At 57.0% G+C, this 14,085-nt stretch overlaps 1 protein-coding gene across 19 annotated transcripts, besides 2 other annotated features; it reads left to right on the plus strand.

The window, feature by feature from the left end:
* Window positions 134-643: a silencer, noted in NCBI's record as "silent region_6830". NCBI's record gives its function as "represses an Ori minimal core promoter by ATAC-STARR-seq in GM12878 lymphoblastoid cells {active_cell/tissue: GM12878}" and the evidence as "EXISTENCE:reporter gene assay evidence [ECO:0000049][PMID:35858748]".
* Window positions 558-11,830, plus strand: FES (FES proto-oncogene, tyrosine kinase). 19 transcript variants are annotated; one of them, XM_017022009.3, is made up of 19 exons: window positions 558-693; window positions 1,091-1,312; window positions 1,466-1,639; window positions 3,015-3,111; window positions 3,241-3,424; window positions 5,360-5,497; window positions 5,571-5,690; window positions 5,894-6,016; window positions 6,146-6,332; window positions 6,455-6,538; window positions 7,036-7,245; window positions 7,608-7,730; window positions 8,112-8,165; window positions 8,761-8,879; window positions 9,154-9,248; window positions 9,345-9,468; window positions 9,708-9,865; window positions 9,990-10,112; window positions 11,470-11,830. In XM_017022009.3, exons 2-19 carry the CDS (start codon window positions 1,100-1,102, stop codon window positions 11,610-11,612), a joined length of 2,469 nt encoding a protein of 822 aa, XP_016877498.1. In that variant the 5' UTR covers window positions 558-693; window positions 1,091-1,099; the 3' UTR covers window positions 11,613-11,830. The 19 variants fall into 19 exon arrangements, with proteins under 19 accessions (XP_016877498.1, XP_047288189.1, NP_001996.1 ...); XM_047432233.1 differs by having other exon boundaries at window positions 1,096-1,312; NM_002005.4 differs by having other exon boundaries at window positions 558-598.
* Window positions 1,274-1,703: an enhancer, noted in NCBI's record as "active region_10099". NCBI's record gives its function as "activates an Ori minimal core promoter by ATAC-STARR-seq in GM12878 lymphoblastoid cells {active_cell/tissue: GM12878}" and the evidence as "EXISTENCE:reporter gene assay evidence [ECO:0000049][PMID:35858748]".

Here is a 14,085-nt window from a genome sequence, read left to right on the forward strand (position 1 = left end):
CTGTATCCGAGAAGCAGTCTCTGTTCGGGATATTTACTTGGAAATTTTATTCAAATGGAAGCTGGCGCCTGAGCCTCTCCTTAGGGAATTCCGTGAGGTGGGGAGGGCTGGGACCAGGGTTCCCTCTTTCTCTTCTGCGGTGGCCCTGGCCTGGTGCTAGGACTGCGCGCCTCCCCTCAGTACCCGCGGACACCCTGGGCTTCCCTGGGCCCAGCATCTGCCTGGGGCCTCGCCCTGGGCTCCCCCTCCTGACCCCCACCTTGCGCCCCTTCCCGGTGTTCCCGGGGCGCTGCCGGGCCCTGGGGCCTGCGGGGCGCGGGCGGCTCTTGGCTGGGCCATTCTTTCCCGGCCCCCTCCTCCCTTCCGTTTCCGTGGCCGTGCGGCCGGCTAGAGGCTGCGGCCCAGCGCGGAGCAGGGGGGCTGGCAGGCGTCGGGGCGGTCGGGCCGGTCCCGCCCGCCCCTTCCCCTCCACAGGCCCGCCCCGGGGCCTGGGCCAACTGAAACCGCGGGAGGAGGAAGCGCGGAATCAGGAACTGGCCGGGGTCCGCACCGGGCCTGAGTCGGTCCGAGGCCGTCCCAGGAGCAGCTGCCCGTGCGGGTACCTCTAGCCCCGGGGCCTGGAGGAGCGGTGGGAGCTGGGGGCGCGGCAGGCAGGGGCAGAGCAGGCGTTCCGAGGGCCAGAGACCCACCCAGGTGGGGGTAGGGGCCGCGGAAGGGCGGGGATGGCCGCAGGGGCAGGGCTCAGGCTGTGGGCGCCTGAGGCTTCAGCTGGGGCAGGCTTGGCCTGTCGAGGACCTGGGCAAGGGTGTCCCTGTAAGGGGTGGTGGGTGGAAGGGCCTGGGGAGGGAGGCTCCAGGTTGGCTCCTGTTCCCGAACGTGCGGAGGAGACCCTGACGCTAAGGAAGCAATGAGGGCCAGTCCCCAGGCCAGGCTGCTGCTGGGTACCCATGGCTGCGTGTGAGCGAGGCAGGACCCCACCTCCTCCCCGTCTGCAGTCCATCCTGACCCTACAGTCCCCAGTCTCCTCGTCCCATGCCTCCGTCTCCAGCTGCTGCCTTGCCTCCAGGGATGGCCCCTTTTCTGTCCCCAGAACAGCACTATGGGCTTCTCTTCCGAGCTGTGCAGCCCCCAGGGCCACGGGGTCCTGCAGCAAATGCAGGAGGCCGAGCTTCGTCTACTGGAGGGCATGAGAAAGTGGATGGCCCAGCGGGTCAAGAGTGACAGGGAGTATGCAGGACTGCTTCACCACATGTCCCTGCAGGACAGTGGGGGCCAGAGCCGGGCCATCAGCCCTGACAGCCCCATCAGTCAGGTGGGTCTCTATGGGACTCTGGTGGGTGCTGGCTGTATCTGCCTTCTCCTTCCTCTCCTGGGGGCCCTCTGGGGCAGTGGCTGGAGATCTGGCAGGCCAATGCTTGGGAGCCATTGTGCCCCCCTCCCTGCCTCCCCCATCTGTGCTGTATAGTCCTGGGCTGAGATCACCAGCCAAACTGAGGGCCTGAGCCGCTTGCTGCGGCAGCACGCAGAGGATCTGAACTCAGGGCCCCTGAGCAAGCTGAGCCTGCTCATCCGGGAACGGCAGCAGCTTCGCAAGACCTACAGCGAGCAGTGGCAGCAGCTGCAGCAGGAGCTCACCAAGGTGAGCGGGCAGCACTGGGGCTTCGGTCATTTCTGTCTAAATTTTGAGCCTCGAAGGGGTTGTTTTGCACAAGAGGCCCTGGATTCACTGGGGAAGTGTAAGTCCCTGACCGCAGGCCTGGCTTGCTCTAACCTTGATGCAGCTTCCTCTCTTCCTTCCCCTACGTTGAGCTGGCTTGCAGCAAGGCCTCTCTGTGCTTTTTCTGTGCCTGGGCAAAGTGCTGGGAGTGTAAGGATGAGTGACCGGTCACGTGCCTGGGAGAAGCTCAGAATCGGTACTCGCCTCCACACTGTGCCATCTGGCTCTGGGTTCTGAGAGTCAGGGAGAGGAATGAGGGTCAGTCTGTTTGCCTTCGACCTAGGCAGCCTCCTCTCAGGGCCCCAGAGACTGGGCAGCAGCATGGCCCCCCGAAGGTCGAGGATTCGGGCCGTGAAGTCAGCCTGCCTAGGTTTGAATCCCACCCAGCTCCTCAGTCTAGAGGCTGTGTGATTTGGAACTATTTATCTGGGAGCCTAGTGCCCCCATTCAGTGTGCTGGTCACCCTCCCTGCACCACACCCCTTCCTCAAGTGCAGAGCCCAGCCTTGCCATGGACCCACAGCGGCCCCTGGTGGCCACCCTGGCCCCATTCCTCGCCCCAAAAGATCATCTGATTCAAGGGTGGGCCCATTTTTATAAAGTTTTGCTGGAACACAGCTATGCCCTTTTGTTTTCATATTGTCTGTGACTACAATGACAGAGTTGAGTAATTGTGACAGAGGCTCTATGGCCTACAAGCGTAAAATATTTATTTACTATCTGGCCCTTTAAGAAAAAGACTGATCTAGTCGAGGAATCTAGCTCAGTTACAGATGGGGAAACTGAGGTTGGGCGCTTGCCCAACATATCCCAGCACATAAACAGGAGAACTGGGACGAGAACACTGATCTCGGGCTGTCATCTATTCCTACTGCCAAGAACATAATTTGCAGGACCCAGTGCAAAGTGAAATTGTGGGGGTCTTTGTTAAAAGATTGCTAGGAATTTCCAGGTGGCAATAATGGAGAATGAAACCAAGCACAGGGCCCTTCTACATGTGGAGCCCCGTGTGACTGCACAGGCCGTGCACACCTGCAACTGGCCCTGCCTGCCACCAGGCTACCACTGTCAGTCCAAGGAGGGACCATTGTAGCCTGTAGTCTACCTCTTTGCCTCCCCAAGGGGTCTGTCTTTAACAGGCTCTCTGATCTTTGACTCTCACGTCAGCAGCCAGCTTTCCCAGAAGTCTCCAGGTGCTCCTTGCCTGACGACAGGACCTTTCCAGGGCTTCACCCCAGGCAAGAATCTTCCACAACTGGGGACCTGCTGCCCCACACTGGCCTCTCCTCTCTCCCTAGACCCACAGCCAGGACATTGAGAAGCTGAAGAGCCAGTACCGAGCTCTGGCACGGGACAGTGCCCAAGCCAAGCGCAAGTACCAGGAGGCCAGCAAAGGTTCGTGGCTTCCCTTGCTGGCAGGGAGGGAATCCGAAGCCAGTGCTGACCTGTCCTTGGGTACCCAGAGAGTGGGGGCTGCCTGGGCCTCCATGCTGTCATCTATACCCCTTGCCCCCCTTCTGGCAGACAAGGACCGTGACAAGGCTAAGGACAAGTATGTGCGCAGCCTGTGGAAGCTCTTTGCTCACCACAACCGCTATGTGCTGGGCGTGCGGGCTGCGCAGCTACACCACCAGCACCACCACCAGCTCCTGCTGCCCGGCCTGCTGCGGTCACTGCAGGACCTGCACGAGGAGATGGCTTGCATCCTGTAAGCCCGCAGCCCCGTCCCCTGGCCCCCACCCTTGAGCAGCCCTAAGCCCAGCCATCAGGCCCAGAGGCAGGACCCAGAAAATCCATTGCTGGGAAGGTGCTGGCCATGTAACCACATGAGAACGGGACCTGGGCCAAGGATTGGAAACAGGCAACTTACCTCTGAATTACACTATTCCAGGGTCTCATTATTCCAGGGTTTTATTACATTCATTGAGCACTGTTCTGGGCTCTGGATTATACCAGAGAACGATGGTAGACAAAAACATCTGTCCTCAGGGATCTTTCGTGTTAGTGGAGTGAGGATGTGAGGAGCACTAAGAGCCATGGAGAAAAATAAAGCAAGAGAAGTGGATCGGGACCTGGGAGCACGGAGGCAAGGGAGGAGGTGACAGTTGTCCATAGAGTGATCTGGGAAAGCCTCTTGAGAGGTGACATTCAAAGAGGCCCCTGAGAGGGGTACGGGAGTGAATCATGGGGCTATTTGGAGAAAGACCATTCCAGAAAGGAGGACAGCAATTACACAGGCCTTGAGGTAGGAGAGTACCAGGGACTAATAGCCAGGAACCAGTGGTGCCTCTGAGAGTGAGGGAGGGGGAGAGTCATACACGAGGCTGGAGGAGGCAGGCGTCAAGGGCTACTGGGTGATAGAGGGTCTAGCAGGGCCATGGTGAGGACTTTGGCTCTGGGTGAACAAGAATGGCATGATCTGACCTCTGTTTTTTTGTTTCATTTTGTTTTAACTTTTTTTGAGTCAGAGTCTCGCTCTGCCGCCCAGGCTAGAGTGCAGTGGCATGATCTCGGCTTACTGCAACCTCCGCCTCCCAGGTTCAAGTGATTCCCCTGCCTCAGCCTCCCGAGTAGCTGGAACTACGGGCATGCGCCACCACACCCAGCTAATTTTTGTATTTTTAGTAGAGATGGGGTTTCACCATGTTGCCCAGGCTAGTCTCTAATTCCTGGGCTCAAAGCGATTTGCCTGCCTCTGCCTCCCAAAGTGCCGGGATTACAGGCATGAGCCACCATGCCCAGCCCTGACCTCTGTTTTAATAAGGCCACTCTGGCTGCTGTGCTGCAAATAGACTTCAGGGAGCAAGGACAGAAGCTGGGAGGCCAGAGAGCAGGCTCTTGCCATAATCCAGATCCAAGCTTTTGGCCACTAGGACGGGGAGGTAGCAATGGAGGTGAGGCGCGGTCAGGTCCTGGAAGGTGAAGCCAGTGGGATTTCCCTATGGATTGGAAGTGGGGCGTGAAATAGAGGAGTCAGGGGTCACTCTGGGGATTTGGCCTGGAGCAGCTGGAAGATGGAGTGGCTGTTAACTTATGTAGGGAAGGCTGTGGGAAGAAGAGGTTTAGGAGACAAGGATAGCAGTTCATTTATTTATTTATTTATTTATTTATTTATTTATTTATTTATTTATTTAGAGATGTAGTCTCATTCTTTCGCCAGGCTGGAGTGCAGTGGCGCGATCTTGGCTCACTGCAACCTCCACCTCCCAGGCTCAAGCGATTCTCTTGCCTCAGCCTCCCGAGTAGCCAAGTAGCTGGGACTACAGGCATGTGCCACCATGCCTGGCTAATTTTTGTATTTGCTTTTTCAGTAGAGATGGGGTTTCACCACGTTAGCCAGGCTGGTCTCGAACTGACCTCAGGCAATCCACCCGCCTCGACCTCCCAGTGTTGGTATTATAGGCGTGAGCCACTGTGCCTGGCCCACTGGATCCTTATTACAACTGCCAGTGTCCCTCTTATATATATCAGGAAATAGAAGATTAGGGAGAGGTTAAATAATTTGCCTAGAGTGGCATGGCTAGCTCGAAGTGAGGCAGGGGTCAACCCCAGCCCTGACTCCAAACCCAGGGTCCTAGGCCTGAACTGCCCAGCCTTGCCCAGCCTGAGGCTCCCCTGACTGGGGATCCCGTCTCGGGGGCAGGAAGGAGATCCTGCAGGAATACCTGGAGATTAGCAGCCTGGTGCAGGATGAGGTGGTGGCCATTCACCGGGAGATGGCTGCAGCTGCTGCCCGCATCCAGCCTGAGGCTGAGTACCAAGGCTTCCTGCGACAGTATGGGTAAGCCCCGTCCTTGCTCCTGCTGGGCCCAGGGCTGCTGGCCTGTCCACTGACGGGGCGCTGTCCCCCACAGGTCCGCACCTGACGTCCCACCCTGTGTCACGTTCGATGAGTCACTGCTTGAGGAGGGTGAACCGCTGGAGCCTGGGGAGCTCCAGCTGAACGAGCTGACTGTGGAGAGCGTGCAGCACACGTGGGTGGTGGCTTTGCACCTGGGCTGCGGCGGGGCTCCCAGCAGACCACGAGTGTTTATGTAGGCAGGGCTAGGTCGTGGAGACTGTCCACACAGAGCTGTCACCAGGTGGCCGGGCTTGCTTGGCTCTACAGGGATGCACTGGACCTGGGTTGAGGGGGCAGGAGGGCTCGGTTCTAATGCTGCCCTTCTCTTGGGTGCAGGCTGACCTCAGTGACAGATGAGCTGGCTGTGGCCACCGAGATGGTGTTCAGGCGGCAGGAGATGGTTACGCAGCTGCAACAGGAGCTCCGGAATGAAGAGGAGAACACCCACCCCCGGGAGCGGTGAGTGGGCCCCTGCCTGCAGCAGCCTCCTGGGCCTCCCTCCCTCCTACCTACCCTAACTGCTGCTGGCTACCCGCCGCAGACCGAGCCCTTATTCTCATCCACCCTCCCACCCGCCCCTGCCTGCAGGGTGCAGCTGCTGGGCAAGAGGCAAGTGCTGCAAGAAGCACTGCAGGGGCTGCAGGTAGCGCTGTGCAGCCAGGCCAAGCTGCAGGCCCAGCAGGAGTTGCTGCAGACCAAGCTGGAGCACCTGGGCCCCGGCGAGCCCCCGCCTGTGCTGCTCCTGCAGGATGACCGCCACTCCACGTCGTCCTCGGTGAGCTGCCCCATCCGCGGCCGCTGCCCGCCACCGGCCTGCCCACCTGGGGCTGCGCTCCTCATTTTCGCCCTCCCCCTCCCTAAGCCTGGCCACCCGCTGACGTCTGTCCCTGGCCTCAGGAGCAGGAGCGAGAGGGGGGAAGGACACCCACGCTGGAGATCCTTAAGAGCCACATCTCAGGAATCTTCCGCCCCAAGTTCTCGGTGAGTGGCGCCCAGCCTGGGCCCCCCTACTGTTGTGTTTCGAGTTTAATCACTGGGATGTCCTAGAGAGGAGGCTCTGCCCAGGCTGCTTGTATTGGGAAGTTCCTCTCTTCCCTGGGATTCCAGGCTGCAGATGTCCCCAGACCCTGCCCCTGTGACCCCTCCCTTTCCATCGCCCCAGTGTGCTAAAGGGACCAGCAACCTCGACTATTCCATGGCTCTCCCTGCTTCAGGAGCGGGTTGGGGGCCTGTGGCCTGGAGGAGGAGGCACCAGCTTGGTTTGGGGTCTTCCTGCCTGGGCTTCCCTTCCCAGCTCTGCCCAGCGTGAGCCTGGGCCAGTCCAGTGCCCACTCCAGGGGCCTGTGGATGGCTCTGCATGCCACTCCATGGTTGTAAGGGCTGAGGGCATATAGGGGGGAGAGAGAGACCCCCGGCTGCCCCCACGGCCTCTTCAACAAGGTGGTTAAGTGACTCCTCCTCGATCCTCCCTTGCCCAGCTCCCTCCACCGCTGCAGCTCATTCCGGAGGTGCAGAAGCCCCTGCATGAGCAGCTGTGGTACCACGGGGCCATCCCGAGGGCAGAGGTGGCTGAGCTGCTGGTGCACTCTGGGGACTTCCTGGTGCGGGAGAGCCAGGGCAAGCAGGAGTACGTGCTGTCGGTGCTGTGGGATGGTCTGCCCCGGCACTTCATCATCCAGTCCTTGGATGTGAGTGGGGCTGGGACCCGAGCCTTCCAGGCCTCACTCTTCCCCTCCCTTCCCTTCCCCAAGGGAAATGGCCTTTCAGGGTAGGGGGTAGCTGCCAGGTCTTGGATGCCTCCCTAGCAGGGCTGGCTGGAAGGGGCCACAGAGACCACCCTGTCCCTGCAACAAAATAGAGGCTTAAGTGTGAGTCCTCCCCTGGTGGGGCAGCAGGATGTCATGTGCCATCAGATGGCATCTTTTCTGGAGGTCTCTCTGCCCCTGGTCCTGGGCAGGCCCTTTCTCCCCTGCTGCTCTCCCTTTCCCCCTCCCAGGGCTCACGCCCCCTCAGAATGGAGGCTGCTGACCCCGGGTCCCCTGCCCTGCAGAACCTGTACCGACTGGAAGGGGAAGGCTTTCCTAGCATTCCTTTGCTCATCGACCACCTACTGAGCACCCAGCAGCCCCTCACCAAGAAGAGTGGTGTTGTCCTGCACAGGGCTGTGCCCAAGGTGAGCCTGCACCCAGCCTGGCCCATGCCACCTGTGGCAGGGCTTGGGGAGTGTGGGTCAGGCCCACCCAGCGTCTGAGCAGAAAGGGCTTTCCAGGCCCTCCGTCTACATACAAGATGCAGAGTGAGTGACCCTCAGGGCCAGCCTTGCTCTAGGTTTGGAATGTCAGGGCCACTCCTATGCCATGGGCTGTACACACCAGGTTGGTGCTTACCTGGTCAGGGCACCTGCCTGGACCCCGTAGTCATCTCAGTGTGCTCCCCACGTGGTCCCACCCCTGGTCACATATGGAGGCGCCAAAAAATGGAGGACACAGCCCTTCTAAGGGCCCAGCACCCCTTTTCTTCAGACTTCTGATCCCCTGTCTCCTCTCTTCCCCAGGACAAGTGGGTGCTGAACCATGAGGACCTGGTGTTGGGTGAGCAGATTGGACGGGTGAGTGCGCCTCTGCTGGCCTCCTTGTCGCTGGCGACTTCTCCTGAGTCGCGCCTGGGCCCCCTGCCCTACCACCCAGAGACCTCCCTGCCCCATCTGATTCCCCACTTGTACCCCGACTCCCTGCCCAGCCCCCACCACACACCATCCTCCAGGAAACGGGACAGTACCTACCCTGAAAACTCCCAGCAGACAGCTCTGCCAGCACCCTGACCTCATCACCCCCACCCAGGCCGCCCCCATCGAGCTCTTGTGTGCACGCAGGGAGACACCCTGTTACTGTAAGCCATAAGATACCTGTTTAGGGAAGAAGTCACTGTCCTAAAAATCAGAATGCTTTTCAAACCCAAGGGAGAGTGATTTTTGGATTTCCATGTCACTTCTCTCAGGAAGGGTGGCACATCGGAGGCAACTTTCCCTGCCTGCCCCATGTGCTCTCTAGGTTCCCCAGCGAGGGTCAAACTCCCAGAGAGCCTGGGTGAGGGGTCCGAACACGGGGGCCCCTCACCCAGGGGTAGGAAGCAGAATGGGTAGGAAGCGGAGAAGAGAACTGCGGGACTGGGAAGGCCGTGGTAGGAGCCCAAGACCGTTTCAGGGGAACTTTGGCGAAGTGTTCAGCGGACGCCTGCGAGCCGACAACACCCTGGTGGCGGTGAAGTCTTGTCGAGAGACGCTCCCACCTGACCTCAAGGCCAAGTTTCTACAGGAAGCGAGGTGGGTGATAAACTAATGATCACCACGGGTCCCGCATACACAGAGGTTACACTGCATGGCACAGTGTGAAGTGCTTGACCACCGTGGTGGTGTTTAGTCCTCGAGGCCCCCCATTGCGGGTAGTACCCCCTTATAGTGCCGAAGGGTAGAGGCTGCCCCAGGTCACACGTCCGGGTCTGCTGGCCTTGGAGGCCAAGCTCTTCTCCCATCATCCCTGGGGGGCCCTGGGGAGGCGGGCCTGGCCACGTAGATCCTGAGCAGCAGTGCCCTCCAGGATCCTGAAGCAGTACAGCCACCCCAACATCGTGCGTCTCATTGGTGTCTGCACCCAGAAGCAGCCCATCTACATCGTCATGGAGCTTGTGCAGGGTGAGCGCGGGGCGCTGAGCTCCAGGTAGGGCGCGCAGCCTGGTCAGGTGGCAGCCTTACCTCAGGAGGCTCAGCAGGGGTCCTCCCCACCTGCAGGGGGCGACTTCCTGACCTTCCTCCGCACGGAGGGGGCCCGCCTGCGGGTGAAGACTCTGCTGCAGATGGTGGGGGATGCAGCTGCTGGCATGGAGTACCTGGAGAGCAAGTGCTGCATCCACCGGTGAGTGGGCGGTGGCCACGGGCCCTGCCAACACCCCCGACCAGAGTCAAGAGGTACCTATACCCCTAGGGCCCCCCGCTGGACCATCAGGCATCAGCTCCAGAGGGGGAGTTGGCCTCTGTGGTAGACAGGGGTGCCCAGGGCCGGGAGCAGCTTTTGTCCTTGGCTTTCCTAGAGTGTTCAGCCAGGGCTGGGCAGGCGACTGTTGGCCAAATGAGCCCCTGCCCTGTCTCACCCAGGGACCTGGCTGCTCGGAACTGCCTGGTGACAGAGAAGAATGTCCTGAAGATCAGTGACTTTGGGATGTCCCGAGAGGAAGCCGATGGGGTCTATGCAGCCTCAGGGGGCCTCAGACAAGTCCCCGTGAAGTGGACCGCACCTGAGGCCCTTAACTACGGTACCTAGTCCCTGTCTACCCTGGACTCCATGGCCAGAGGCCAGGCCTGGGTCCTGCCGGCTGCCTCGCCCTGGCCCCAGGGAGGGTGCACTCACGCTGCCTCACCTCCTCGCCTCCTCTGCAGGCCGCTACTCCTCCGAAAGCGACGTGTGGAGCTTTGGCATCTTGCTCTGGGAGACCTTCAGCCTGGGGGCCTCCCCCTATCCCAACCTCAGCAATCAGCAGACACGGGAGTTTGTGGAGAAGGGTAAGCACCCTGTGATGACAGCAGCCTCAGGCTGCACCCTCTTCCAGATGCTCCAGCCGGACTCTTCTAACTCCCTTAATGCCAACCTTCCCACCAGGCAGAATAAGAATAACCTGGCCAGTTGCTCACGCCTGTCATCCCAGCACTTTGGGAGGCTGAGCTGGGTGGATCACTTGAGCCCAGGAGTTCAAGATCAGCTTGGACAACACAGTGAAACTCCATCTGTACAAAAAATACAAAAATAGACTGGGCACGGTGGCTCACACCTGTAATCCCAGCACTTTGGGAGGCCGAGGCAGGTGGATCACCTGTGGTCAGGAGTTTGAGACCAGCCAGACCAACATGGTGAAACCCCATCTCTACTAAAAATACAAAAATTAGCCAGGCATGGTGGCACGTGCCTGTAATCCCAGCTACTTGGGAGGCTGAGGTGGGAGAATTGCTTGAACCCAGGAGGCGGAGGCTGCAGTGAGCCGAGATTGTGCCACTGCACTCCAGCCTGGGCGACAAGAGTGAAACTCCATCTCAAAAAAAACCAAAAAACAAAAAATACAAAAATTAGCTGGGTGTGGTGACATGCGCCTGTAGTCCCTGCTACTCGGGAGGCTGAGGTGGGAGGATCACTGGAGCCCGGGAGGTGGAGGTTGCAGTGAGCTGAGATCATGCCACTGCACCCCAACCTGGGTGACAGAGAGAGAGAGAGACCTTGACTCGAAAAAGAAAAAAACCTGGGCGCAGTGGCTCACGCCTGTAATTTCAACATTTTGGGAGGCTGAGGAAGGTGGATCACTTGAGTCTAGGAGTTTGACACTAGCCTGGCCAACATGGCAAAACCTGTCTCTACTAAAAATACAAAAAATTAGCGAGGTGTAGTGGTGCAAGCCTGTAATCCCAGCTACTTGGGAGGCTGAGGCACAAGAATCGCTTGAACCTGGGAGGTGGAGGTTGCAGTGAGCTGAGATCACACCACTGCATTCCAGCGTGGGTGACAGAGCAAGACTCCATCTCAGAAAAAGAAAAAAAAAAATAGAATATCCCTGTAGCTACTACTGAGTGAGCACCTGGTCTGTGCTAGGTCACATGTTATTTCATTTGCTCATCACTACATGTGTGGTAGGGATTAATATGTCCCTTTCTCAGATGGAAAAACAGGCTGGCAGAGGGGACACAGCTAGCACGTGGTAGGATTAGGATCAGAAGCCAGGCCTCTTTGTCCTTTGGGCCCTTGGTGGAGAACAGTGCATCCTTCAGAACAGTGCATCTTAAGCAGCTCCTATGGCTCATGGTATCCCCCAGAGTCTGCCGAGGACCCTCAAACTCCCTCCTCATGCCTGGTGTGCTGTGCCTCTCCTCACAGGGGGCCGTCTGCCCTGCCCAGAGCTGTGTCCTGATGCCGTGTTCAGGCTCATGGAGCAGTGCTGGGCCTATGAGCCTGGGCAGCGGCCCAGCTTCAGCACCATCTACCAGGAGCTGCAGAGCATCCGAAAGCGGCATCGGTGAGGCTGGGACCCCCTTCTCAAGCTGGTGGCCTCTGCAGGCCTAGGTGCAGCTCCTCAGCGGCTCCAGCTCATATGCTGACAGCTCTTCACAGTCCTGGACTCCTGCCACCAGCATCCACACTGCCGGCAGGATGCAGCGCCGTGTCCTCTCTGTGTCCCTGCTGCTGCCAGGGCTTCCTCTTCCGGGCAGAAACAATAAAACCACTTGTGCCCACTGAACACTCCTGGCATGTGCACTCCTCTGGAAGGCAGGTCTCAGAAGGCACAAGTGCCGGTATGGTGGCCTTGGGGAAGGAGGAGGACAGGCAGTATGCATGGGGCAGAGCTGACATGATTTAGTAGCAGCTGGATGTGAGACATGCGGAAGGCGGGGGAGAGATCAGGATGATATACAGGCTATGGCCAGATGGCGGTGTCATCCCCTGAAATAGGATTATAGGAAGAGGATCAGAGCTTCGAGGAGGATGTTGAGTTTAGAGATGTTGCATTTTATTGGAGATAAAAGTGTGGGTGAAGCCAGGTGTGGTGGTAGACACCTGTAGTCCCAGGTACTTGGGAGGCCAAGGCATGTGGATTGCTTGAGCCTAGTTTGAGACCAGCCTGGGCAACATGGCAAAACTCCATCTTTACAAAAACAAAAAACAAAAAACAAAAAACCAAGAAAATTAGCCAGGCGTGGTGGCACACACCTATAGTCCCAGCTACTCAGAAGGCTGAGGTAGGAGGATCAATTGAGCCTCGGAGGTCGAGGCTGCAGTGAGCTGTGATCACACCACTGCATTCCAGCCTGGGCAACAAAGCGAGGCCCTGTCTCAAAAATAAGTAAATAAAAATAATAAATAATTAATTTAAAATGTAGATGAATAGGTCTGGAAGCCCAGATGGAGATGAAGGCTGGCAATAGATGTGTGAATCATTGGCTTATGAATATTAGAGAGTAGCTGACACTATGGATGCGTATAACACTCGCATAAAATTCAGGAGGAGATGAGAAGAGAGTTCCACTCAAAGAAGACTGATGTGGCTGATGAGGAAGAAAATGCTTTTGAGGGAGTTGTTTCTCAAGATGAATTTATTGAGGAATAAGATGGCAGACTGGGGAGCCTTCACCTCCTCCCCTAAGTCCCAGTGAAACCTAAAAAGTCATCTGAAATATTAACATCACCAAAAGCGAAGTTTGAGAAGATAAGGAAGTATGAACATAACTAAAAAACAAAGTGGGAAACATTTGTAATACAGAACAGGGCAATGAAAACCTTGAAGTAAAATGGCCATCCCTCAAGAAAGTTCAGGAAATAGTTAACATCAGCTGGGTGCAGTGGCTCACACCTATAATCCCAGCACTTTGGAAGGCTGAGGCAGGTGGATCACCTGAGGTCAGGAGCTCGAGACCAGTCTGGCCAACATAGTGAAACTCCGTCTCTGCTAAAAATACAAAAAAAATTAGCCAGGCGTGGTGGTGTGCACCTGTAATCCCAGCTACTCTGGAGGCTGAGAAGGGAGAATTCCTTGAACCGGGGAGATGAAGGTTGGAGTGAGCAGAGACCGCGCCATTGCACTCCAGCCTGGGCAACAAGAGCGAAGAACAAAACTATGTCTCAAAAAAACAAAACACAGCAAACAAAAATCTATTTTGAAAGAGATGAGAGTGAGCCATATAACTTGTTTAAACAAAAGGAAGTTGTGTTGTCGTGTAATTAAATGAAAATACTAGGAAGTGAAATAATACCTCCAATGGAAATGGTAGAAAGCAGAACTGAAAAACTTCTGCTAGGTAGGATATGGTAGGTCTCTGCACGCCACCACTCCCATTGCAACCGCTAGGGAAAAAACAGCTAAGATGAAAATGTCTTTTTTTTTCTTTTTTTTTTTTTTTTGAGATGGAGTCTCGCGCTGTTGCACAGGCTGGAGTGCAGTGGCGCGATCTCAGTTCACTGCAACCTCTGCCTCTCGGGTTCAAGCGATTCTCCTGCCTCAGCCTCCTGAGTAGCTGGGATTACAGGCACGCATCACTACGAGCGGCTAATTTTTGTAATTTTAGTAGAGACGGGGTTTCAACATGTTGGTCAGGCTGGTCTCAAACTCCTGACCTCAAGTGACCCGCCCACCTCGGCCTCCCAAAGTGTTGGGATTACAGGGATGAGCCACCACGCCTGGCCGAAATGTCTTATTTTTAAAAAGAATGAAGAGTGGTCACAGAAATAAAGACTGAATGGACTAAAATTTCAAGGAGGGAAGAGCCCTTCCGAGTTGAACTAGTGATAGGCAGCTATTTTCTTCCCTGAAACATTTGCCCATTTGGGACATGAGGATCAGACTTGGCCCAAGCAGAGAGACTCTACTGGGGAAGAGAGAAAGGAACAGTTTTTGGTAGTTGCAAGGACTTGCTATGGATTAGGACCTAGAGGAGCACAAAATGCAGAGTGTTTTCCCCATGGGACATTTGCTGAGTTCTGAGGCAGTGCAGGAGACTG

The sequence above is a fragment of the Homo sapiens genome, chromosome 15 (genome assembly GCF_000001405.40).
Source record: "Homo sapiens chromosome 15, GRCh38.p14 Primary Assembly".
NCBI classification, from domain to species: Eukaryota; Metazoa; Chordata; class Mammalia; order Primates; family Hominidae; genus Homo; species Homo sapiens.